The sequence below is a fragment of the Homo sapiens genome, chromosome 11, assembly GCF_000001405.40.
Source record: "Homo sapiens chromosome 11, GRCh38.p14 Primary Assembly".
NCBI classification, from domain to species: domain Eukaryota; kingdom Metazoa; phylum Chordata; class Mammalia; order Primates; family Hominidae; genus Homo; species Homo sapiens.
The window spans coordinates 117,709,487-117,735,736 of record NC_000011.10 but is presented as its reverse complement, the minus strand read 5'-3'; the positions used below and the strand labels follow the sequence as shown (position 1 = coordinate 117,735,736).

The 26,250-nt window shown below is 47.0% G+C and overlaps 1 protein-coding gene across 5 annotated transcripts in view, besides 1 other annotated feature; it reads left to right on the top strand.

Moving 5' to 3' along the window:
• DSCAML1 (DS cell adhesion molecule like 1) overlaps positions 1 to 26,250 on the top strand; it is a 389,743-nt gene that overhangs the window by 81,778 nt on the left and 281,715 nt on the right. The gene's annotated exons all lie outside the window — the stretch shown is intronic.
• Positions 11,413 to 11,941: an enhancer, noted in NCBI's record as "NANOG hESC enhancer chr11:117594511-117595039 (GRCh37/hg19 assembly coordinates)". NCBI's record gives its function as "activates a minimal SCP1, AML or CMV promoter by ChIP-STARR-seq in primed H9 embryonic stem cells {active_cell/tissue: H9 hESC(primed)}" and the evidence as "EXISTENCE:reporter gene assay evidence [ECO:0000049][PMID:30033119]".

Genomic DNA, 26,250 nt, shown 5'->3' with positions numbered 1-26,250 from the left:
GGCCCAGCATAGTCTATGCTTTATTATGGTCTCTCTTGTTTTTCAAAACCTCTTTCATTTTGTATGAGCAGACAGATGTGAGGTCCTCGCAGGCTCACACAGGCTGCCATTCTGGGAAAGAAAAAGATATTCTGGGTTTCCCTCTCTTTCTATGGAGGGCCAGCCTTCTTCTTGCTTTATTTTTTCATGTGCTTTTGAAAGGCGTTATTGTCCTCCTCTTGTAGACAGCCCCGCCCACCCCTGCCCCGCCCAGCCTCTCCTCTCTTCAGGGGCAGGTGTCTTGGACCTGTTCTTTTTAACCTGTGTGACCTTGAGCCAATGCTGCATCTTCTCCACGCTTTAGTTTTCTCATCTGTAAAATGAGGATAGTAATACATGCCCTGTGAGATTTGGAATAAGATCATGAACATGAAAGTCCCTTGTAAACCAGCCCCATGGCTCTGCTGCCAGGATTCTCTGTGGCCGTAGACACACTCTTTGGCGTTCCTGGGCTTCAAATTCTTCCTGTCTTCTTTCCTTCCTCCACCTAATGAAAGCCCATCTGACCTTCCAGTGGGGACTTGGGGCCAGCTGTGAGCTTTTGGGAAGGGGGATGCTACGGGGTAAGACAGTCCATCTGCCCTTTCCACCCTGCAAGGCCAAAGATGTGGTCTGGTCCCCCGAGGGAAGGCTGGCTGTGTGGAGTAAGCAAGGGCTGTGAGGGACTCTCCACAGCCTGACCTGAATCCCCATTAAACGCCCCCCTCCCCAAGTCCCAAGCTTTCTTGCAGGAAAGATGACTTCAGCCACCCACAGGCCCAACCAGCAGCCAGAGGCAAACAGCAGCAGCTCCGCCCCTGGCTTTCCCTGGGCCCACTCTTTTGCTGTGATGCATGTCCGTCCTTATCCTCTGAATCCCAGCCCCAGCCTCAGTCCTCCTAAACCACCTTTCTCACCTGTCTCGTCTTTCCTCCCACTCATCATGTACTCTGCAAATACTTATGAAGCACCAGCTATGCACCAGGCCCTGCAGATATGGCTGGGGAACAAAACAGGCATAGTCCCTGCCCCCTCTGGAGCTTACAAAAGAGAACAGGAAACAGATGCCAAGCAATCACCAAGCAATCACAAAAGCTACGGAAGAGATCAGGAGAGAATGGGGGTGCAGGGATGGGGCTCTGAGAAGGGTTTTCAGAGGAGGTAACAATTCAAGGTTTAAAATAAGAGCAGGCACTGACCCAGCAGAGCTGGGGGAGAGCCCGAGGTGGCCCAAGTCTACTGAGAGTTGGTGCTTTCTAGGAATGGGGAAGCCAGTGTTGGGGAAGTTGAGAATGTGGGGACCCGAGGGGCCAGCAGGGATTTTCTAGTCTCCCAGCAAGGTTTTCCGGAGACTGAAGATGGCTCTATTGGACCCATCTCTCCCCACCTTTTCCATCACTGGGTTCCCCCACCCCGTAAGTGCTCTTGCTTCCTAGAGAAAGATCTCCCTAGGGCCAGGTAAATCAGGGTGAAAGGCCATGCCTTTGGAAGTGTCCCAGCAGTGAGGTCACTGGGCAGTAACTTGGAGAGGTGAGAAAAGAGGAGTGACCAAAGAGGTGACTTCCCCGGACAGTCCCCCAAAAGACAAGATGCATGCTTACATGCATGCAATTGGTCCCTGAGATTCGAGGCCCAGAGGAGGATGACTTATCCAGATGCTCCCCCAAAAGACAAGATGCATGCTTACATGCATGCAATTGGTCCCTGAGATTTGAGGCCCAGAGGAAGATGACTTATCCAGATGGTCCCCCAAAAGACAATATGCCTGCTTTCATGCATGCAATTGGTCCCTGAGATTGGAGGCCCAGAGGGAGATGAATTCTCCAGACGGTACCCCAGAAGACAAGATGCATGCTTACATGCATGCAATTGGTCCCTGAGATTTGAGGCCCAGAGGAAGATGACTTCTCCAGACAGTCCCCCAAAAGACAAGATGCATGTTTTACATGCATGCAATCGGTTCCTGAGATTCGAGGCCCAGAGGAAGATGACTTATCCAGATGGTCCCCCAAAAGACAAGATGTGCACATATATGCATGCAGTTGGTCCCTGAGACCTGAGGTCTAGAAGGGCTCTCTTCCAATACCCTCAAATATTTCCCCACCCCAACTAATGCTTCCTTCCTTGCCGTGTCGAGGGACCGCAGGCCTGACTGCACTCTCTTGCAGGAGGGTGTGACTGTGGCTTTGGGCAATAGCCACAGGCAGGTTTCATCTGTAATCCTTTCGTAGTCAGCAGACTGGCCTGCCACCACCTTGAGTCTACCACTTCCAAGAGTGTAGGGACAAAGCAGCTGTTCACAGGGCCAAAAATCCATGCAGATAGAGGCACATCATTCACCCCCACTCACTGAGCCCCACTCTGCACCAGGGATTCTTCGGGAGGCAGTGCGCTACCAGACCATGCTTCCTTAGCATTCATTCTGGATTTGTAGGGAGGCTACTACGTGCTAAGCACTGCACAGGGCCTAAATGGGGAGAGCAACAGGAGGTTCACAAAACAGAGCAGATCAGGGATGGCTGCTCTGGTCTTCCGGGATGTGCAGGGCCACCAACCCTTTCTGGCCCCTTCCCCCGCATGTCCTCCTGATGCTCCTCCCTGCCTCTGCCCCGAGCTCTGGGCCCTCTCTGTCCTCCTCTCCTGCCAGTTCACCCCTGATGATATTCCTATTTAAAAATAAATCACTGCAGTCTTTAATTGCAGACTAAATAATTGCTTCATTTTATTTAAATGTGGCTCTTGGAGGCTCTGGAAACAATTAGAAGAAAACATAGGGCAGTGCTGGGTGCATGTTTTCAAGCATATAATTTTTTTTTGTTATTATCATACCGACGTTCGTAGGATCTGGAAAAAGAAAGTGTGGCCCTCCTCCCGAGTTAGTCATGCATAATTTACATGCAATAATAATAATAATAATGATAATAATAATAATTCCTGGCTTTTCCCATATTTCATGCTTGGCTCCCAAGGAAGCTGGGCAGTCGTCACTGTGCTCTTTCCGGAAGGAGAGAGGTAAGAGCAGGCCCAGCTATCCCTCTGCAGACCTTTCAGAAGTGACAGCAGCCTGGTCCTTCTGTCCGGAGGCTGGGTTTGAGGTGGGCCCAGAGCTGGCCTGCATGTGTGTGGTCTAAGTCCTAAGAGGTTCCCCGGTCGGACCTCTCACCATGTCTACAATTCCAGCCTTCATCCAGATACAGTGTGAGAGCCAGATAGGGCCTTGGAACTCGTCTTTTTATAATAGAGGCAGCCAGGCCCCCAAGAAGTAATCTTACCCTCAGGTTACAAAGCTTGTTAGTAGCAGAACAAGAAAGAAGACTCGGTGTGTGAAATAGGTGAGCAGGGTCCTTAGAACCAGGAAGACCTAGGTCTGGGTGCCTCTGCTGCCACATCACTGTTGGTGCAATCCTGGGCCCATTTCTTGGTCTCTTTGTGCCTGTGTCTTATTTTGGAAAATAAACTGGAAAATAATAATACTTGTTTATCATGAGGAATCAAGAATGGAATATATGCAAAAGCTTCCAGCACAGCACCTGTGCACCATGGAGGCTCATCAGCATTCACCTGTTCTTCCCAAAGCTCTGCAGTCTTCAGGAGTCTGCTGTTTACATGCAAATGTCCCTGGGAGGGGCAGTGCCTTTGACTCCTGGAGGACAGTAAGGGCTATGTGACTCCTGGAGGACAGTAGGGCCCTTGAGCCTGGAAGGTAGCTATGGAGAGGGAGGAGAAGGAAGAGGAAGATGACATCACCCCGGCCCTCTGTCCAGCCTGATCTTGCGTGGACCATGCTGAGACACCCATGCTGAGACACCTGCTGCTTTTTCTTTCTCTTTACTGTGGGTCCCAGCTGTGTCTGCCCAGGTTCAGCCTGGAAAAAATAGCCTGTTGTGCCATTTCATCCACATTTATTGAGCACCTGCTATGTGCCAGACAATGCTAGATAGTGAAACTGCAAAGACAAATAAGAGGTGTTTTCTGCTCTAAAGGAACTTAAAAGCTATGGTGAAAGAGACATGTAACAGCTACATGTATTGTGGTATTAAACGACAGGGAAGAGCTACCTGTAAGGATCTATGTGCTATGTGACCCCGAGGAAGTATGGAGGAGGGCAGATTGCCCAGCTTCTGGGGGGATCCAGGGGGCCACCTGGGGAAGCCACAGGGGTCTTAAAAGATGTGTAGGAGTTGGGCCAAGGGAGTTTACAGGGAAAAGAGGCAGTGTGATCTATGGCTGGCAGGTGGCAGCTGCATGTGAGGATGACTTCAGTGGTTCAGAATTATAGCTTATGCACTGTGAGGCTGGAACAGTGACATACAAGGCCAGAGAGGTGGGCAGGAGTCTTTGTGGATGGCTTTCCAACACCCATGTTGAGGACCTTGGGGTGTGGGAAAGCAGTATCTCCCCTGTTCTGGCGTCATAACTTCTCAGGTGAACCAGAGGGCTGCGGTTCTTTCTATTGCACTTGGCTTGCTAAGACAGAGCTGAGGCGCCCCTGTTAATCTGTGATTGACCACCTTCTCTGGGCACAATAGGGCAGGCAATTTTTTTTTTAGTAGCAGCTTTATTGAGATTCACATACCATACAATATACCCATTTAATGTGTATGATTGAATTGTTTTTAGTATATTCACAGAGCTGTATAGCCATCACCACAATCAATTTTACAACATCCTCATCACCCTTAAAGGAAACCCCACAACCATTAACAGTCATTTCCCCCATCCCTTTCCCTGACCGAGGCAAACACTAATCTGTGTCTGTATAGTTTTACCTATTCTGGAATTCACATAAATTGAATCATACAATATGTGGCCTTTTGTGTCCGGCTTTTTTCACTTAGAAGAATGTTTTTGAGGTTCATCTGTGTTGCAGGATGAATCCACATTTGATTTATCAATTCGCCCATTGATGGATATGAGGTGTATTTCCACTTTTGGGCTATAATGAAAAATGCTGCTGTGAACATTTGTTTACAAATGTTGGTGCGGGTGTATGTTTTAATTTCTCTTGGTAGATACCTGCGAGGGGAATTGCTGGATCATATGGGAATGCTGTTTAACCTCTTAAGGAACTAGCAGACTGTTTTCCAAAGTGGCTGCACACTTTACATTCCCACCAGCAGGGTATAAGGGTCCCAGTTTCGTCACATCCTCTCCAAATCCTGTTGGTATCTTTCCTTCTGATTGCTGCTGTGTTGGTTGCCTCTTGCTACTCTAACAAATTACCACAAATGTAGTGGCTTAAACAGCATGCATTGATTGTCACACAGTTCCGGAGGTCAGAAGTCTGGAATGAGTCTCACGGGACTAAAATCAGTGTGTCATCAGGGCTGCATTCTTTCTGGAGGCTGTAGGGGAGGTTCTGTTTCTTTGCCTTTTCCAACTTGGAGAAGCTACCCACTGTCCTTGACTCCTGGCCCCCTCCAGCTTTAAAGCTAGCAATTGTATCACTCTGACCTCTGCTTTCTTGTCACAGCTCCTTCTCGATTTTGATTCCGGATTCCACTGCCTCCCTCTTTTTTTTTAGATGGAATCTCACTCTGTCGCCAGGCTGGAGTGCGGTGGCATGGTCTCAGCTCACTGCAACCTCTGCCTCCTGGGTTCAAACGATTCTCCTGCCTCCACCTCCCAAGTAGCAGGGGCTACAGGCGCACACCACCACGCCCAGCTTATTTTTGTATTTTTAGTAGAGATAGAGTTTCACCATGTTGGCCAGGATGGTCTCAATCTCTTGACCTCATGATCCACCCGCCCTGGCCTCCCAAAGTGCTGGGATTACAGGCGTGAGCCACTGCGCCCGGCCTGACTCCCTTTTTCAAAGGACCTTTGCAATTACATTGGGCCCACTTGGATAATCTCCCCATCTCAGATTCCTTGATTTAATCATACCAGCAGCATTCCTTTTGCCAGATAAGCTAACATATTCACCTGTTCTAGGGGATTAGGATGCTGGGCATCTTTGGAAGGTCATTATCCTGTCTATCACAACAGCCACCCAAGGGGTGTGAAGTGGTATCTCATGGCTTTAATTGTATTTTCCTGTAGCTAATGTTGTTGAGCATCTTTTCAGGTGTTTATTGGCCATTCATATATTTTCTTAGATATAAAGACATAATTTTCATTTTAAAATTGAGTTGTCCTTTTATTATTGAGTTGTAGGAATTCTTTATGTATTCTACACACAAGTCCTTTATCAGATATATGCTCTACAAATATTTTCTTCTATAGTCTTTTCACTTTCTTGATGGTGTCTTTTGCACTTTCTCGAAGTGCAAAACATTTTATTATGATGGAATCCAATGTACCCATTTTTTTTCTTTTGTTGCTTGTGCTTTGGTATCATATCTAAAGAAACCATTATCTAATCTGAGGGCATGAAGATTTATCCCTATGTTTTCTTCTAACAGTTTTATATTTTTAGCTTTTACATTTAAGTCTTTGATACATATTGAGTTAATTTTTGTACATGGTATGAGGTAGTGGGTCCAGCTCCGTTCTTTTGCATGTGGATATCCAGTTGCTATAGCACCACTTGTTGAAAACATTGTCCTTTCCCCTCTCCTGAGTGGTCTTGGCACCATTGTCAAAAATCAGTTGACCCTATTTGTGAGGGTTTATGGACTCTCATTTCTATTCCATTAATCTAAATGTCTGTTCTTACACCAGTACCACACTATCTTGATTACCGTAGCTTTGTAGTGAGTTTTAAAATTGGGAAATGTAAATCCTCCAGTTTTTTCTTCTTTTTCAAGATTGTTTTGGCTATTCTGAGCCCATTGCAATTCTTTACACACTTTTTTAAAGATCAGCTTATGGAAACCAGCTGGAATTCTGCTAGGGACTGTGTAGGCCAATTTGGGGAGTACTGCCATCTTACAGTATTAAGACTTTTTGCCTATGAACATGGGATATCCTTCCATTTATTTATGTCTTCTTTAATTACTTTCAATAATGTTTTATGGTTTTCAGAGCATTCTTTGGACACATTTTTCTTAAAATTATTCCTAAGTAATGTATTCTTTTTGGATGCTATTGTAAATAGAATTATTTCTTAATTTCACTTTTGGATTGTTCATTGCTAGTATATAGAAATGCAATAGATTTTTGAGTATCAATATTGTATTCTGAAACCTTGCTGAACTCACTTATTTGTTATAATAATTATTAATGAATTCCTAAGGGTTTTTTATATACAGGATTACATCATCTACAAATAGAGAAAAGATAGTTTTACTTCTTCCTTTTCAATCTGGATACCTTTTATTTCTTTGTCTTGCCTAATTGCCCCGGTGAGAACCTCCAGTACAATGTTGACAGAAGTGGTGTGGTGAGGATGGACATCCTCGTTTTGTTCCTGATTTTAGGGAGGATGTATCCACTCTTTCATCATTACATATGATGTTAGCTAGAGGTTTATCACAGAGTCCCTTTATGAGATTAAGGAAGTTTCCTTCTATTCCTAATTATGTTGAGTGTTTTTGTCATGAAGGAGAGTTGAATTTTGTCAAATGCTTTTTTGTGTGTCTATTGAATGATCATGTGGGTTTTGTCCTTTATTCTATGGATGTGTTGTATTACATTAATGGATTTTCTGATGTTAAACCAGCTTTGCATTCCTGGGATAAATCCCACTTGGTCATAGTACACAATCTTTTTTATATGCTTCTGGATTCAGTTTGCTAGTATTAAGCAACCATTCTGATGTCAGGATTTCTTAGGGACAGCAAATCACTGCTCCCTCCTCCTAAAACATTCTATAAATTCATCTATAAGAATCTTTCTTACTTCCCTTGGCTCCATCTTTCCCATATTACCCCAAGAACTGTGAGCTGATGACAATTAGAATGATCACTTCTGAGCCCCTTGTCTTTTACGCTTGGCTCAGATATCATCATGGGTAGTAAGCTCTACTCAACAGCTCCCCAGTAGCTCCCTCACCCAGGAGCACTGACAGCCCCTTCACCTCGCCTGTGCTCCCATTCTTGGCCTATAACTTCTTGTAACACTAGCTGTATTCTCCTGTGGTTGGTTATTTAACTGTTTGTCTTCCCTGCTAAAATGTCGGCTTCTCAAAGACATTCATGTGGGGACTCCTGATCCCTGCCGACATTCACCTGGATACAGTCCCTTGCATTGCTGGGCTCTGGTGTTTTACGATTGGAATTTCATTCCTTTGACCTCAGAATTTGTGCCAAGTTAAAAAGCAATACATCAAGAGAGGTAATATGCTATACTCAGCAGTCACACCCAACTTAGGGTGAGTGAGTGAATCCATCCTTTCTGGAGAGAAAGTTTTGCTTAGGAAGGTGGAAAGTGTGGATGCTGAAGACGGATGGAGAGAGAGAAGATTCTGGGGTCACTGTCAGCCCCTGGGCAGTACCTACTGTTTTCCTGAGGTTTGTCTATAATCTGTGGATCCTCTTAATCCCACAGTGATTCACGGGACTAATTAACATGGTCTTGTTGGTTAGACCTATTGGAAGAGAGGCAGAACTTTTATCATCAACCTCAAACCAGGATTCAAATCCCAGCTTCTCTACTTATCAGCTGGTGACCTTGAGTAAATTATTTAACCTCTCCCTACCTCCATCCTTCATTTATAAATGTGGGGTAAGAACAGTACCTACTTAATAAAGTTTTGCTAGAATTAAATCAGTCAATGAATGTACAAGGTGTGGATAGTACAGTGTACTATCTGGCACACAGTACACACTTAAGAGTGTCAGCTGTCACCATTATTCATAGGAGCCAACATTTGTAGCATGCTATGGCCCCAGTAGGCTACGTGCTGCCTGGGGTACAATATGTCATGCTGTTGCTTTGGCTGCTACCCTAAAGTCTCCTGTCCCTATAGAGCTGCTTATGCTCCCCTGCAGTTCCCAGAGACCTCCACATCACAATCCAAGCTCATTCTCCCGCGATCACTACCAAAGCACCTCTCCATGCTGGGGGTTTAGCAGGTCACCAGCTCTCACTCTGAGCCCCTCTTTGGGGATCATGGGGTCCTTTCCCACCCTCAAATCTGCTGCAGTGCCACCCTGGCTTACTCAGCAGATGGCTTGAACACTAGATCTTGCGAAGAAAGAGTGGAGGTCTTGCTTGGTCTTCTTCCTTCCGGAAGCCTCTTGAGTTTCTCAAATGCATGGCTCTACCTCCCTCATGGTCACATACACCTGGGGTAGGGCAGCCTTTCCAAACAGAGACAGCATCCTGAAGGGCCCTTTGCTTAGGTCAGGAGTTACCCACTGACCTTATATTTATATAAACATTAAAGTATACTATGAAATAAATATAAATGTTACCTAAGGGATTTTTTCCTATACTAACAACAACAAATTGCCCCAAGGTGATGTCCCTCCTCTCCCTTCCCCCACACAGAATATCTGGCTTAATGGTTTAAATGCCACTTCCTAAAGCATCCAGTCACATACACACACACACACACACACACACACGCACACACACACACAGAGATACACACACAACCTCATTCAATCTTTACAAAGTAGCGATTATTACCCTTTTTCTAGATGAGGAAACTGAGGCTCAAAGAAGCTGAGCAATCTGCCCAAGCATTTCAGGCCCAGAACTAGTACTCTTGATTCCCACTTCGTCCTGCTTCTCGTGGGTGGTGTCCTATGGCTGCGGTGCCCTCTGGGGATGATCCATCAGGGAGGATGGCCAGCCTGGCTGCCTGACCTGGGCTGAGGATGTCAGGCACTGGTGAACTTCTTCTGTCACTCAATATGGTGGGGAGTGCATGGGACCTGTGGGTAGGGCCCAGCTGGAGAGGCTGCAGGGGCTCAACTGGAACAGGTGGGGAATGTGGCTGCCTCTGCTGGGACCTGCTGCCTGCTGCCTCCCTACCTTTTTGTTTTGTTTTGTTTTGTTTTGTTTTGTTTTGTTTTGTTTTGTTTTGTGTAGCATAACCATGGCCTGTTTCCTCTGCAGGGGCTCCCAAAGCCTCCGGACAATTCCCCCAACCCCTGGAAGATGGGGTTCAGGGGCCAGCCCTGTGTCTAGGCCCTGGGAGGCCCGGCCTCCCTCCTCCTGCAGACCTCTCTGCCAGTAAGGCAGCAAGAGGGGTGTACTTTTGGGCTGAGCAGCAGCTGATCGGAACGGATGATATGTTTTCACTCTGGTGTGCTCAACAGTGCGGATCGGACAGGGAGCGGAAATGGGAAAGATAAGTGGGAAATAAATCACCCAACTTGATTTAGTCATAATAGTAAGGAGAGGGGGATTGCAGAGCTGTGATCAGAGCCTCAATCAGAGTCTGGGCAGGAGGGTCGGAGGGCAGAAGTTGAAGCTCCCTCTGCCCTGCACCAGCCTTCTGAAACCTCCTGTGGATGGAGTCACTCTGGATAAGGGATGGACGGCAGGTGAACATAAGTCGTGCACTCTGAGCTTCTGGGAGTCCCAAGGCACAGAGGCCTGTACTGCCTGGCAAGCCTCTGCCCTCTAAGGGCAGCAGACAGGGAAGACAGTGGTGTGGAGGGCCCAGATCCAACTTGCCTCCCGTCCACGGAGACCGGCCCAGCTATGCCTGGGGAAGGGGCTCTGCTGATTGAGTTTCTCAGAGGCAGTCAGGATTGGTGGGGAGGCAAGGGAAGTGCTTGGGGAAGCAAATCCCTCCTATTTTTAGTGCTTTCCAGAAAGCATCTTAGCCATTTCCTTTTTCCAGTTAGTACTGGGCCCACCTCTGCCAGTCTAGCCTTTGGGGGTGTCCAGAGAATTTATGCATTCCCTCTGCCCTCCCATTTCCTTCCAGTGTCTTGCCCCTTGGAATGAGTTCAGGTCTAACCTGGGGTCCTCCTGCTGCACTTCTAGGCCTTTCCCCCATGCCTCTTGTGGAGTAGTGGATGATGGTTGACATATTCCAGGCTCCTTGTTTCCTGAGCAGGGCTCAAGTGCAGAGAGTGTCAGGGGGGTGTGGAGAAGGGCAATGATTCTCAGAGGCCTGGCATTCAGGAGAAGACAGCTTAGGTGATGCAGGAATATCTATTCCAATTCACTAAGGGTTATCTGCTCTGGCAAGTTATAAAATACCATTTCCACTGAGGCTGTAGAATTACTTACAGGAGCCACAATGCAACCAGACAACCTTTCAATCAAGCTGCCTGTTGTTCCCGCTTCAAGGCTGGTGAAATAAATACTGAGCAAATAAAGTTAGCCGGCATCTGAGCATTTTAATGAATAAAGAGTAGCAAGAGGGCTGGGGATCTGGGAGCTTCTGTACATCCCAGTGGACAGACCACAGGAGACTGGTGTGCTAGCTCCAGGCAGGGTGCCTCCTACCTCCCACCCTCACCTTCCACAGCCCAGCCCCCTCTTCCTGGCGGGTCTTCCTCATTCTTCTTTCCCGCTCCAGTCCATAATTCCATCCCTTGTCTCATGTGGTGCCTGGCGGTGCTGCCTATGGACGAGGACCCAATCAGACCAGGGGACCCAGTGACTTCTCCTATGGCCTCAGCGAAGTGCATGCTGCCCCTGAGTGATTGACATTCTCAACACACTGGAAGGCCTTTGGGGTCAGCTTATTGCTCTCTATAAGGCCAGGGTCAGAAAGGCTAAACTCCAGATGAGGTGAGACAGGAGGGGGAAAAATGTTGTGATGGCCTTTAAACAAAGCTTTTAAAGTTGCTTTTGTAGCCAGAAGAAGAGAGTGCAGGGTTGCTTCTAAGTGCAGCTAGTGTAATGTTAATTGGAGATAAAGGACCAGCCGTAGCCAAGCTCTCTTTTGCTCCCTTCCTCTCTGTCTGCGAGCAGGGTAGTTAGTCTAGGAAAGGTAATAAAAACCTGGGCAAATGCCCTGAGCCCAAGATGGTACAGAGGTGGGAGGAGACGACGTGGTTGAGCCACATAGGTGTGTCTTCTGGCCCCATCATTCCCTCCCTCCCAGGGTGTTGGGAGGAGACGCTGCAGATGAGGTTGCTAAATCACCAGCGATCTCTCTGGGGAACTGCACAGAACTGGAGAGAGGGCTCTAAGTGGGGAGAAAGGCAAATGTCATTTTACTTTTCAAGGGGGAAAAACAGGGGACTGCTGCAGTCAATCCACAGATGAACTCAACGCCAACCCCGGGCAGGCTTCTAAAACAGCCGCGGAATGGGTCATTTTGAACACAAAGGGAAGTAAGGGGCAATCACCAGAAATCAGGGTGGGTTCACTGTAAACTAGTCATGCCAGATGAGCAAACCTCTCTTTTTTTGTAAAATACTGGAAGGTTAAAATAATGTTCTGGATATAGGAGGAGGATTTTAGCACGGCATTTGTTGTAATCTCTCATGGCAATCCTTGTACACAAGCTGGATATTTGTAACCTGGATGGTATCCAATAAGGAGTATTTGGAACAGGTCAAGGGAATGAATGCCTAATGGACCGAGATCAAAACTGGAAGAACATATCTGGAAATATGGGGATCCCCTATTTTTTCCAAAATGTGTTATCAGTGACTTTGGTGCAGATATAGAGGATATACTAATAAAATCTGTGAATGACCTAAAGCTACAAGGGGTAATAAATACCAGTATAGTAGTAATACTTTTTAAAAAATAGCTAACAGCTAACATACTACAGCACTTACCACATGCTTGGCACTTTTCTTAAACACATCACGTGTTGGCATTTAATTTTTGTAGCAGCCCAATGAGGTACTTCACATTGTTATTCTCATCTTACAGATGAGGAAACTGAGATAACCAGTTGCAGAACTAAGATTCAACCTCAGGCCATCTGGCTCCAGAACCTATACTCGTAACCCCTTGCTATGAAATAAACATGATACAAAGCTATTTCAATAGACTGGAGTTATGGGTAGGACATGAGATGAAACTGAATAGGAATATGTGGGAACTACTGTTTCTAGAATCAGAAGGCATTGAGACAGGATGGGGGATGAGATTTGTCAGCAACATATCTGAAACACCCAGAGGAGTTTGGTTGTCTACACCTCAGCCTGAATCCACAGGGTGGCAAGGCGGGCCAGTCCACAGCCTGAACTCCAGGCTCCATGCTTCTATCTGTTTATTTATTGTTTCGTTTTTCTTTTTAGTTGCCATACAATTGTATATGTTTATGAGATACAGAGTGACATTGTGATACCTGTAACAATGTGTAATGATCAAATCAGGGTAATTAGCATATCCATCACCTCAAACATTTATCATTTCTTTGTGTTGGGAACATTCAGAATCCTCTCTTCTAGCTTCTATAAAACATACAATAAATTGCTGTTAAATATATTCACCTTACAGAGCTTTAGCGCACTAGAACTCTTTCCTCCTATCTAGCAGTAACTTTGGATCTGTTAATCAACCTCTCCCTGGCTCCCCTCCCCCTTATCTTTCCCAGCCTCTAATAACCACAGTTTCACTCTCTACTTCTGTGAGCTCAACTTTTTTTTTTTTTTTTTAGCTCCCCCATATGAGTGAGAGCATGTGGTATTTATCTTTCTGTGCCTGACTTAGAGAAATACATTTCAGCTGGAGCCCTGGACATAAGCCTTCTGGCTTCCACCCTCAAGTTTTTCCTGTAGAGCCATGATCCTTCCCAGGAGCTGGGGCTGGTTAGCAGAATCTAGGAGGAAGGATGTCACGAATTACAAAGCAGAGAAGAAGCTGATGTTGAAAGTAACCCATTGTGCTATTCTCCACTTGCAAGGAGAATTAATGGTCACCCTGAGAATACCGCAAAAACAATACCAAACCAAAAACAGTGGCCTTTTCAAGATCAAAACAAAATTTTCTTTGGAAATTACTTGGTAAAGAACAAATGACTTACATTTTAAACATCATGATTAGTGTGAGTTTAAAAAATATGTAATATACGGAGCCTTCAGTGAGCCGAGATCGCGCCACTGCACTCCAGCCTGGGCGACAGCGAGACTCTGTCTCAAAAAAAAAAAAAATATATATATATGTACATATCATATATATCATATATTTATATATTTTCTATATGATGTATTTATATATGATATATATTTATATATGATATATGATATATTTTATATAAACATTTTTATATATAAATATATGCTTATATATTTATATATTACATATATTTAAATATATGTTTACATATTTATATATTACATATATTTATATATACATATAAGAGGAACATGACGAGTTTTAAACAATTTAGGAACACAGGTTTAGATACTCAAGTCAGAAAATATATGGACAAATGGAGCAGGCCCAGGCCAAAGAACAGGGCCAGGAGGGTGAGGTCAGGAACCCCTGACTGTAATAACTAACTAATATGTCAGCTGTTGAGGGATGGTTGGAATACCCAGAGTAATTCCAGGTTGGGGGAGGGGGTGACTATTACCCTTGGCACCTGGAGAGTGACATATGAACAGGGTTGGACTTAAACTACGGATCTCCGAAAGGAAGACTCAGGACACGTGGGCAGACATTGTAGCACATTTTGGTTCAGTTGAGAAGAAGTTCTTTCTAGCTATCCAGGCTGTTTAAAACTGGGCCAGTAACTGGAGGAAATAGCACATGACTTGTTTAGCATAGTGCTTGGTGCAGTCCAAGTGTGCAGAACATGGTAGCTGTTATTGTGATTATGATGATTAACTTCAGCATCTGAATCCGGAATCTGCCACTTGTTAAGTATGAGGTTCTGAGCAAGTCAGTTCACCTCTCCGCATCTTGGTTTTCTCATCTGTACAATGGGGATTGCCACATCTGCCTTGGACAAACGTTGAGGATGAAAATGTAACAAGATTGCTTATGAGAGGGCCAGTAAATGTTTCCTCAGGACACTTCTTAGAGGACAAAGTCTGTGCCTGTCCCTCATGTAGGACTCAGCGTAACCTCAGGTTAATGATGGTTAACTAGTAATGGTAATGAAAACCATAAAAGCTGCCATTTATTAAGCACTTATTATGTGTCAGGTACTGTGCTAAGCACTTTGCAGGAATTCTCTCATTTAATCCTCACACACCCTGCTCAAGCCAAGCACCACTATTGCTGTGCACCATTTTACAGATGAGGAAACTGGAATTCAAATGGCAAGAGAGCCAGAGTTTGAATCCAGGTCTGGCTGACTCAAGTCCAAGACTTAGACACCGTCCCAGTACCTCTCTGAGACTCAGCAAATTCTTTGGGAAGTGAGAAGGAGGAGGAAGCATGGAGTTTGCAAGTGCAAGGGATGTGGTTCAGTTTTTACCCCCTTCATTCGCGTGTTCTCTTGGAGCCCTGGGAGAGGGGACAAGCTCTTGGAGCCAGCTCCAAAGGCCGGGAGGCTGGGGCTCGCCTCTCATGATTCAGCCCTCGGCTCCCTCCCCTCCCAGCCCCACTTCAGGCTTTTCTCTTTCAGCCTGTCTGACTCCATCTCGGTACTTTGTCCTGCTAATTCTGAGGCTGGGAGGGCGTGTGCACTCTTTATGCCATTCAGCCTTAATTAGAAGTTCCTGACAGCTTGTTTGGGGCCCTGTCAGGCTCTCTGACTTGCCTTGCACCAATAAGTAAAAAGGAAAATTGCTATCTGCTCCATACCTGGCTGCCTGGGTGTCATTATGAGTGGGCTGTGCGGGCGGGGGGCGCTGGGCTGAGTGCTCCTATTCTGGGCATGCCAGTGCTGACTCGGCACAGGGTGGGGGTTCTGTCCTTCCAGCTTCCACGGAGAGATCCAGTGCCTGGGCCGGGAGGGACTAATTGATTGAGACTTGATCAGGGCAGCTGGCTGGGGCTTTCATGTCCAGATTTCAAGTCCTTTTGCCTTTGAAACCCCACATATGTTCAGGGTTAGGGGGCCACAAAGCACAGTCAGCTCTTTTTCCTGTGACCTATTGTGGGGACAGGTGGGCACAGTCAGAGTAGGGATTGGATCTCATATTTTTCCAGTGATGAAGGAATGATTTGGCAGAGCTCTGCCCGCCTGGACCTTCTGCCCAGTGACCTACCTCCAAAGAAAGTCCTGAGCGTTAAGCAGTTAAGACACGAGATTGTGGAATTAGAGACCACTCAGGTTCAGACTTCTGCTCTGCCACTTTTGAGCTGTGTACCCTTGGGCCAGTCAGTTCACCTATCTGGACTTAGTTTTGTCATCTATAAAATGGGTATAATAATTGAGTTGTAAAGACAACAGTACCTGATCCCCAGTAACAGTACCTGACTCCATAAATCTCATCTACAAACTCTTAACTAGAGAATTAGAGTTAAGTGTTTGAATTGCAACTGGACTGCATATTAACTTTGTGATCTTGGTCAACGTACCTAACCCTGACTCTGAGCTTGCTTTCTTTCCTTCCTTTCCTTCCTTTGACAGAGTCTTGCTCTGTTGTCCAGGCTGGAGTACAGTGGCGCAATCTCGGCTCACTGCCACCTTCGCCGCCCGGGTTCAAGTGATTCTCCTGCCTCAGCCTCCTGAGTAGGCTTGCACCATCACCTCCGGCTTATATTTTATTTTTTAGTTTTATTTTTTGGATTTTTAGCAGAGATGGGGTTTCACCATGCTGGCCAGGCTGATCTCGAACTCCTGACCTCCAGCGATCCGCCTGTCTCAGCCTCCCAAAGTGCTGGTATTACAGGCATGAGCCACTGTGCCTGGCCAGTTTCTTTATTTCTAAAAATGAATATATAACAGCACCCTCCCCCTAGGTTACTATGAGGATTCAAGGAGATTATGCACTAAAACACTTAGCACACCGCCTAGAACAGAACTGACAAACTATAGCCCATGGGCCAAATCAGGCCCATGGCCTCTTTTTGCAAACTTGGATTTGAACACAGCTTCTCTCTTCCCTTTAAGTTTTGTCTGTGCTGCTTTCTAGCCACAGCAGCAGAGTTGAGGATGGCCCACAAAGCCAAAAACATTTGCTGCCTGGTCCTTTGCAGAAAAAGTTTGCTGACCCCAACTGAACATGGTTATGTGCTCGTTAAACACTAGTTGTTATTAACAAGTAATCATCATTGTAATTTCCACACTGCTTCACTGAGGTGTTTGGAGGCCAAGTGCGCAGTAACGAGTAGCTTCTAAGACACACTAGCCAGAGAGGATTTTTTAAAGGTCTCATATGATGGGGGGGGGGGGGGGTTTTGAGTATTCATCTTGTGTGTGTGTATTTTTAGAAAGAAAAACTGGGAGCGATATTTGGTCATACACCTTCCTGAATCACATATTTTCTGTCTTAAGGGATATCAGGAATCTCCTAATTCCATTGATTAATTCTACCAAGGAGGAAACTTTCATTGTCTACTGCTGCACAGCCCCCTCACCCTCAGAATACTCTTGCTGGATTTCAAATATCCAAAGCTTGCTGAATTCCTGGCCAAAGATACTGCACCTATGCTGGAACTGAGTTTGTTCCCGGCACACATCACCCATAACCCCTTTCACCCCCAACTTGGGGGCTTATGAAGGGTCCTGGGAGCTGCCTGGAGTCACTGAGGCCAGGAGAGCCCTGCCGGTTCCCAGCACTTTGGCAGACAGCCCTGCCATCCTCAGGCTGTGTCAGCCTCGGGAAGGGGGGTGGGGGATGGCGGGGTGCGTGAGTGGCTTCTAGAGAGGCTGGAGCCGGCGCGGCAATGCCCCACTGACCTCGCATACAGGCAGGCTATTATCACTCAATTTTTACGCTGTGTTCCGGATGCTGCTCCGCCTGCCACGGACGTGCAGCCGTTAAAATATTAATGTCTGGCATGTGGCAAACATTTAAAATATGCTGAGACTTGGGAGCTGTTGAGCTGGGCCTTGTTGACACACCGCCTCACCTGGGTGTTGTTTGCTATGTAAATGCCAAGGATTCCTCCCTGAAGCTGGAACCTGCACTCCTCTTCTCACCCCTCATTTCCTCCTGGGACTAGGTTGGTAAAGCAGTTTGTGCCCATCCCAGCATTGCCTCGCTGGGCCAAAGGGGTGTGTTTTAGTGCCAGTTGCTAGGGGGCATTTCAAAGGGGCTGGTTTCAGGGCATCATCAATTACAGCAACCCCCCAGATGTGCCTCGAGGACAGCTGTGTGCCAGGCACTGGGCTTGGCATTGTGGGAGCGTGAGTATGGGGTGAATGTGGCCACTACCTACCAGAAGCTTACAGCTCACCAGGGCGTCATTACTGTTCACCAGCCTAGAACACGGCATGGCGCCAGGAAGTCAGGATGCCCAGGACGGGCCTTTACCCTGTCCCACGCCCAGTACAGCCACTGCTGGTTGATCGTCAGGGTCTTTTATTTCTGAGCTCCCAAAGAGCCTCACAATCCTTATCCACACAGGAAGCCACCGCCAGTCAGTTGGAACCTGCCTGAGATGAAACCAATTTGTTGTCCCTGGTGGAGGAAATGATGAGTGATACAGGAGGAGTTCTGATGAAGAGTTGAGGGAGCGTCAAGGGGAGTGGGCACCCTTTGAGGCAGGGGCGGGGAGAGGTGAGGCTCCATGAAGGAGGTGGCCTTCGAGGGTGGGTAGGATGGAATACTTGAGGGGGGCAGGGCAGTGCAGGTGCAGGGAGGGGACCGGTAGGGTGGGCACAGGAGCCCCAGGCGGTGTCCTTGGCCGCTCTCGGGCCCTACCAAGTGACCGGAGGCAGCCTGATCGACCATCTTCGGCGTGGCACTGGATTCTGCCTCTTTGGCTTTGTCCCAGGGTGGTTTCTATAGCTGATGAAAACCTCAGATCTTTCTTCCCCCTAGAAGTCTCTAGAAAGGCCTGCGCCCTCCCAAACAAAACAGAAAGCAGATGACACAGCCTGGTGCTGGGGTGCATCTGGGGTGCATCTGGGATGGGAATTTCTGGCAACACCAACCATCTAGCCTAAGGGTCGCCAGACTTTCTGTAAGAGACCAGAGAGTAAATATTTCAGGCCGTGCAAGCCACAAGGTCTCTGTGGCAACCACCTCAGCTCTGCCGTGGCAGCGCACAAGCAGCTGTGGACAATACATGGGTGAGCGGGCATGGCTGTGTTCCAAAAACACTCTATTTATGGGCACCGAAATTTGAATTTCATGTAATTTTAATGTGTCATGAAATAATCTCCTTTTGGTGTTTTCTTTTTCCCCCCAACCATTTCAACCATATAAAAGCCATTCTTAGCTCTCAGGTTGTAACAAACAGGAAGGGGGCTGGATCTGGATTCTTACTCTGGCTGAATCATGAGGTCTTAGAGTTGGTTGGCATTTTTGACTTCTTCGAGCTCCCCTGGACTACCCTCCCCTCTCTGGCTAGGCACGCCCACCTGTTCTGATGGGGTGAGCTGGTTTTGCAGCGCTCATGGCTACAGTGTGTCTCAGGGACAGTACCGCTGGGGGTAAAGTTGGTCAGGTTAAGCTTTTAAAGAGCAAAACCCAAAGCTCTTGTTTGGTGACCCGCTTCAAGCTGCCTTTAATCTCTCCTGCAGACCTCCTGGGAATCAGTGGTCAGAAAGGGTCAAATATGAGGAAATCAAGACCCAGAGAGGGAACGTAACTTGCTCAAGCTTGTTCAGCTGGTTAACAACACGGCTGGGACCAGAACCCCGGCCATCCAGGGACAGATCCTTTCACTTTATCATAAAATAAAAGGGCCTCCAGGTTAAGCACCTTCTTGGCTCCTCGCTCCGGGCTGTTGGAAGCAACCCTGGCCTTTGCTACCATTACTGCTTGTGCCTACCTGTTACTGCATTTTCCTGAGAAGAGAAGGACACAACCAACAGGCGTCAGCCTGGGTTAGTACAGGCAGAAGTAAAACATGATAAATCGCTGCTAATGCTGCTGGGTGACTGAGATAAAGGCTTGATTGTTTGGGCAGCGTAAATCAACACCCTGAGCTGGGTGGGAAATAAAGCAATAATTTAAATCTATTTTCAGGGTCTTGTGGGCCAAGTGACCAACTAGGAATTGGTATCTGAGGACGGAATAATGGATAGAGGAGGGTTATATATGGTTAAACCACACCGACTGGATAGTTCTGCACTCGTCTGGGATGGTTACAAGCCCTGTGAGTGAGCTCCAGCCAGAACTGTGACTCCTGCCCCTGCTGTGTGAAGAGGGCCCAATAATTCACTTACCTGCTTCCCCAGCCAACCCACCCTCGGACAGCCTCTGCCTCTCCTCCAGGCATCCCAGTCCCGTACTCATCACACTTTGTGGAGGGGCTGTTTCTGCGAGGCCCTGTGCCAGGCACAGGGGATTCAAACGTTCACAAGACAAAATCGGCATCACCAGACTGTAAATTCCATGCAGGCAAGAGCTATCGCTGTCTAGTTCACCACCACATCCCCAGTGCCGAGCACAGTTCCTGGCACATAGTAGGCATTTGATATACTTTCTGTTGTAAAAGAGAATGGTCAAACCAAAAAAAAGAGTCCCATTGAAGTGCATTAACTTCTATACAGAGACTGGGCTACGGCTGGGGGTACAAAGGGAGTCGAGGAGAAGCCAGGAGGCTCCGTTTTTCCTGCAAGATCTCAGGACAGGCAAGGAGAGCTGAAGGAGAGGTGAAACCTGGGCTGAGTCTTTAGATAGGCGTAGTGTTGGCCAAGGGAACAAGGAGGGAAGGAGGGAGCAGTGCATGCTGAGGCCGGGAGAAGGCAGTGCTTCTGCTTCTGAAACCAAAAAGCCCTGAAGAAAAGTGATGGAAGCCAAGCCCGTGGGTTATAGTTTCCATTTTCTTTTTTTTTAATGACTTATTTTTAACTGACGAAATTGTATAAACTTAGCCATCTACATGTTATAGTTTCCATCTTCAATTTGTATTTGCCTGCACTGTACTTCCTCTTCCTCCTGGCATGGTTGGTTTGGGTCTGATGGCCCATGTGGATGGCAGAGTAGGCACCAAGTCAGGCACAGAATGGTGGAATAGAAGGACACTTGGACGGCTGGGGCCTGGGGCCTCCTTCCAGCTGCGTCATCGTGTGTCTCCATGGCTTTGGGCAAGTGTGGCACCTTCCTTTTTTTTTTTTTTTTTCCTCAAGATGAAGTTTCACTCTTGTCTCCAATACTGGAGTGCAATGGCGTGATCTCGGTTCACTGCGACCTCCACCTCCCAGGTTCAAGCAATTCTCCTGCCTCAGCCTAGCCTCCCGAGTACCTGGGATTATAGGTGTCCACCACCACGCCCAGCTAATTTTTGTATTTTCAGTAGAGATGGGGTTTCACCATGTTGGCCAGGCTGCTCCCGACCTCCTGACCTCAGGTGTATCACCTGCCTCGGCCTCCCAAAGTGCTGGGATTATAGGCTGTGAGTCACTGCACCAGCCAGCGGAAACTTTCTTGTTCTTCTTTTCTTCATGTGGGTAATGGCAAGATGGGATGTGTTGAACTCGATGACCTCTGGAGCCCTTCAATTCCTTCTAGGCTCTTGTTGCTGCTTTAAATCATTTCTGAGCAGGCACCACCTGCAGATGCTGAGCTGCTCTTTCAGCCCCTGATTAAGAGTTAGGCACTTAGAGGGCTCTAATAAATATTTGGTGATGGGTTCCTTTAGGGCAGATTTCCCTGTCTTTCAGAAAAGGGACAAAGAAAAGTTCCCCAAGAAATACTGAAGCTATAGATAGTCTCTTGTTTTCATCCAAACCATAATAACAGTAAGGCCAAAATAAACACAGGTAACAGCACACTTACTATGCCCCAGGTACTAGTCTAAGCAACTTAGATGCATTAACTCAGTTAATCTTGACAACAACCCTAGGATTAGGATTAACTAATTATTATCCCCATTGCACAGATGCAGAAACGCGGACTCAGGAAGATTGACTAATTTGCCCAGTGCCACACACAAAGCCAGTATTTGGACCAGGTAGTCAGGCCCCGGGGTTTCTGCTTTAACCACAGTGCTCTAACCATGGTGCTAACCAGTGCCGTGCTGCTCTGTGGACTGCTGGAGAGACAGGTGCAAAGATGAGTGGCTGGCAGGTGGTTCCAGGGACTTCCCTCAGTAGTAGTGTCTGGGGTGCTGGGGTAATTCCACCACCACTGCCCACCACCCACCACCACCTCCACACAGCCACAGGCTGCTGATCCCACAAAGTGTCAAGATGGATGGACTCCGCAGAATCTGTCAAGGCCCGACAAGGGGACACATCTGAACTGGTGACGGAGGTCATAAATTTTTATGTTCATTATGTTTGTTTTGTTTGGTATAATTAATGAATCTATTAAGCTCAGTCAAGCTCTGACCTCTTTTATAACCATTATAAATCAGCTCAAATGGCTCTGGGAGGGGGACGGTGAGTGTCATTTTGCAGGCCTCCCTGGGAAATTGTGGTCATTCCACAGAGTAAGGCTTTGGAAAGGGGTAGAGGGTAGGGAAAAGGCCAACGTGGGTTCCATGGTGACTGATTAGGGATGGGATGGGAAGCTATCAAGAGGGCATTGGTGGCCGGACGTGGTGGCTCATGCCTGTAATCCTAGCACCTTGGGAGGTCAAGGCGGGTGGATTACCTGAGGTCAAGCATTCAAGACCAGCCTGGCCAACATGATGAAACCTTGTCTCTACTGAAAATACAAAAATTAGCTGGGTGTGGTGGCGTGCGCCTGTAATTCCAGCTACTTGGGAGGCTGAGGCAGGAGAATTGCTTGAAGGCAGGAGAAATGCTTGAACCCAGAAGGTGGAGGTCGCAGTGAGCCGAGGTCATGCCGTTACATTCTAGCCTGGGAGACAGAGTCTCCCAAAAAACGGCATTGGGAATGGAGGAGAAAGAGCCGTGGGGAAACTGAGGAAGGGAGCCTTTTGTGTGACTCTGACTCTAGTGACAATTATTCATGTTTTTATAGGTCCTGGGTGTTGGGGGGTTACGGGTTGCTGCAAAAGGGGAGTTGGGAAGGAGAAAACAGCAGAATCTTTCATACCTCAATCTCTTTCCCTAAAAATGGCTTCCTGAGGAATGAGCACACTCACTCAGCCCCAGAAAGGGAGTCAGTCACAGGGTGGGGAGAGAGGCGGGGGGAAGACATAAGGTACCCAAGGAGGAGCGGAAGACACAAAGCCGCAGGCCCAGAGTGTGGAGCTGGCGAGAACGGTCGTCACTTTTCCATCTCTGCTGTCTCTGGTTTGGTGAGCAGAGTGATTGAGCGTGATTGAGCAGGGTTGCAGCCGCTCATTCTCAGCTGTTAGGATGAATGGATCCCTGGGACACCAGCGAGGATGCTGTCGGCGTGCGCGTGCTTTAATAATAATAAAAAAGAAACTAACAAAATACCATTCCCCATCATTAAAATGCAGAAGCAGATAAAGACCAGCTCCTGTGTAATTACCAAAAATTCTTATTTCCATAAGAAACCAGCACTTCATAAATTTTCCAGCCCTAACCTTTCTCTCCAGGGAAACCGGATTTCTATGAATATAGAAATTTGGTAATTGCCCCTGAAACTGTGCTTTTCTGTATTAATGAATAGCAGGAGCTTGCTTTTGCTTACAGCCCCAAATGGTACAGATTCCTTCCCCATCACTGTGTCAAAGAGAACCCTCCCCAACCCCCACTGTCCACACCCATTAGACCCATTTAGGACCTCCAGGTTTGGGTTTCAGGAAGAGTGATTTCTTCTTCAGGGGATGAAGGGAGTGGAGAGGGCCTGCCAGTCAGGAGCCTAGTTCTGCATTTTCCCAGTTGCATTCGTATTCTTCTTTACTACAGGCATGCATTTTTTATTTCAGTGCAACGTGTTTAAAAAAAATAAAATAAATGCACTGTTAGATTTAAAAATGTACGGCATTATATAGCTCATAATGCCATGGTAGATTTTAAACCTCTAAAAGCATATGCATTAAAGCAATTTTCTAAACGAATATAGCAAGAGGTCCACAAACGCACTGCAACATTTGATAATAGTTGCCATCTTCAGCTGAGGATAATGATGTTAACAAATGTAATGGGAGTAATAAGTGGAGATTCAAAAAGCTGCTTTTGTTTAATTTTTTTGTAATGCAAATTCAGTTTAGGAATAAAAGAAGTGGGGAATGGGGGGAAAACCCTCTTATTTGAAATGAATCTTAATCCTAGCTGATGATAGGCCAGTTGTAAGGAGAAGTGGCTTCATTGTGGAATTAAACAATCCAGAGATGCAGTGATTAAGGTGGTCAGGACAAAATTGGAGGAAAAAAAAGGACCGGCAGAATTGAATCTTCTTTCTTGAGCCTGGAATTGCAGATATTTGAGTAAAGAAGTTTCAGCACACCATGAGTGTTGTCCCTGGGGTTATCTGTGTCAGGAATTGGAGACGCGTCCCTCACACCAACTGCCAGACATGTCCCCGGTGCCAACTCCTAAGCCTGGTTCTAGGAGCAGCTGGTGTCAGAAGACAGGGAACGTGAGGGAGGAAACTGCCCTGAACCTTCACCTAAGCCAAGTTGCTCTATGGACCCCTGAGTTAGTTTATCAAGCCACGCAGCTGGCTCCCTTCAGGGACTTCTGCAAGCTATTCTGCCCCTCAGTTTTCTCTTCTGTAAAACGGGAGCAGCAGGGAGTTCTCACAGTCAGCACATTTTTGAGAGTTTGAGAGTGGTGGTGCTCACATCTTAACTCCTCAAAAGAATGGAAGGTGGAAAAAAGCTGGGCCACAACAACCTCCATCAACCTCATTTGCTTTGCCCTGGGCTGAGCTCAGCCTGCCCCATGAGGCAGAAATCATAACCATGACCCTGAGGCATAAAGGAAAAAGCCTGTTCAAGAATGCCGTCCTGGGAGGCTCCTCTGGGGTCATTCAGGAGTAGGCTTTATTTTCTTGGTTTTCTCTAGCGAAGACAGGAGCAGCAAAGCCTGAGTTACTGGCACTGCTTCTCCAAGAATCTGCCCATATGGGAGCTAGGATGGGCATAGAGGTAGAACAACCCTCACTGGATATAGTTTGTGACCTTGAAGTGATCCAACTCTAATTGTATTGATAACAGGTACTATGTGGCTTAGGGCTCGATGTGCTCTTTCTTTTCGAGTATGTTCTGTCTCCCCAGTTAGATTGTCAACTTGTAGAGAGCAGAGACATTGCTATATTTATGGTATTGTCCACAGGGCCCATCCAAGTGCTGGGCTCAGCCGACATTGCCTAACAGCTACCATTCATCAAGCTTTGCTCATTTGCAAACACTTGTCCAAGTGCTTTACATAGCTCATTTCATTTAACACTAATGACCTCACAGGTAGGCACTGTAATTATCCTAATTTTACAGATGGGGAAACTGAGTCACGGGGCGGTTAAGTCACACAGAAACACAGGTTGTAAGGTGCAGAGCTGAGCTTGAAACCAGAAAACTACTCTGCTTCTCCAGTGCTAGTCCCTAAGGATAAAGCTGTATACATGTGTGGGTTGCTAACGTTGCAGAGAGGGACTCTTTCTCCAGAACACATGTCAGCTCCTTCCCACTGTCCATAGCCAGGATGCCATGCCTGGAGGACAGCCCAGCCCAAGGAAGGCTGCCGGCTGGCAAAAGGAGGGTTTTGGGTGGTAAAAATACTCTGAGGAATAGAGTATTGTAAAATAATATGATTTTGAGATGGTGCAGAGAAGTGAGAAATATGAGTTACAGTCACTAACTTCCCCAATTTACAGCTTTAATTAATCTGAAATTACTACGTAGATTTTTATGATTAGCAGGGACATCTCAGTGAGCAGAGAAGGAATCTTTAACGATGATCTCAAGATGAATCTAGGAGATGAAATATCCACCCCATAAACAAAGTGGTGTTAGAGGAAGCAAAGTAAAATGAAAATCCCAGACCATCAGAACAGTCATCTGTCAGCAGGACAAGGTCTTCCAAGACTGTCCCTTGCAGAGGGGACAGCCATCCTTGCCCCAACAGCAGGACTGCACTGAGGCCAGGCAAAGTCCAGGGATTCATTCTTTTTGTGTGTGTGTCTCCAAGGAGGTCCTGGCTGGAGGCAGGGGCTCTGAGCCAGGCCCCTGCTCCTTCTGTCTGGACCTGTCTCATGGCCAGTCTTATCTTCAGGGGTCATTGGTTGCCCTCGGTCCCAGGCTGGGACCAGCTCCCTAGGGTCCATTCTTTTTCACAGCCGCTCCTTAGGGTGATGGGTCAGGAGACTTTCCAGTGCCCTGAAGATGTTGCCTTATTGGCTTCCCCTGATGAAGCCTTAGCCCAAAGCCAGTGAAACCAGAAAGAAGAGGCTGGAGGTGGGAGTTGGGGTGGGATTATGGTTCTGTAACCCTCTCCTGCACCTCCCCATGCAATGGGGGAAATAAATAGCCATTTAAAAATCCTTTTTGGCTGCCGTTATGGACTGAATGTTTGTGCACTCCCCCCAACCCCCGCAATTCATATGTTAAAGCCCAAAAGCCCCATGTGACTATATTTGG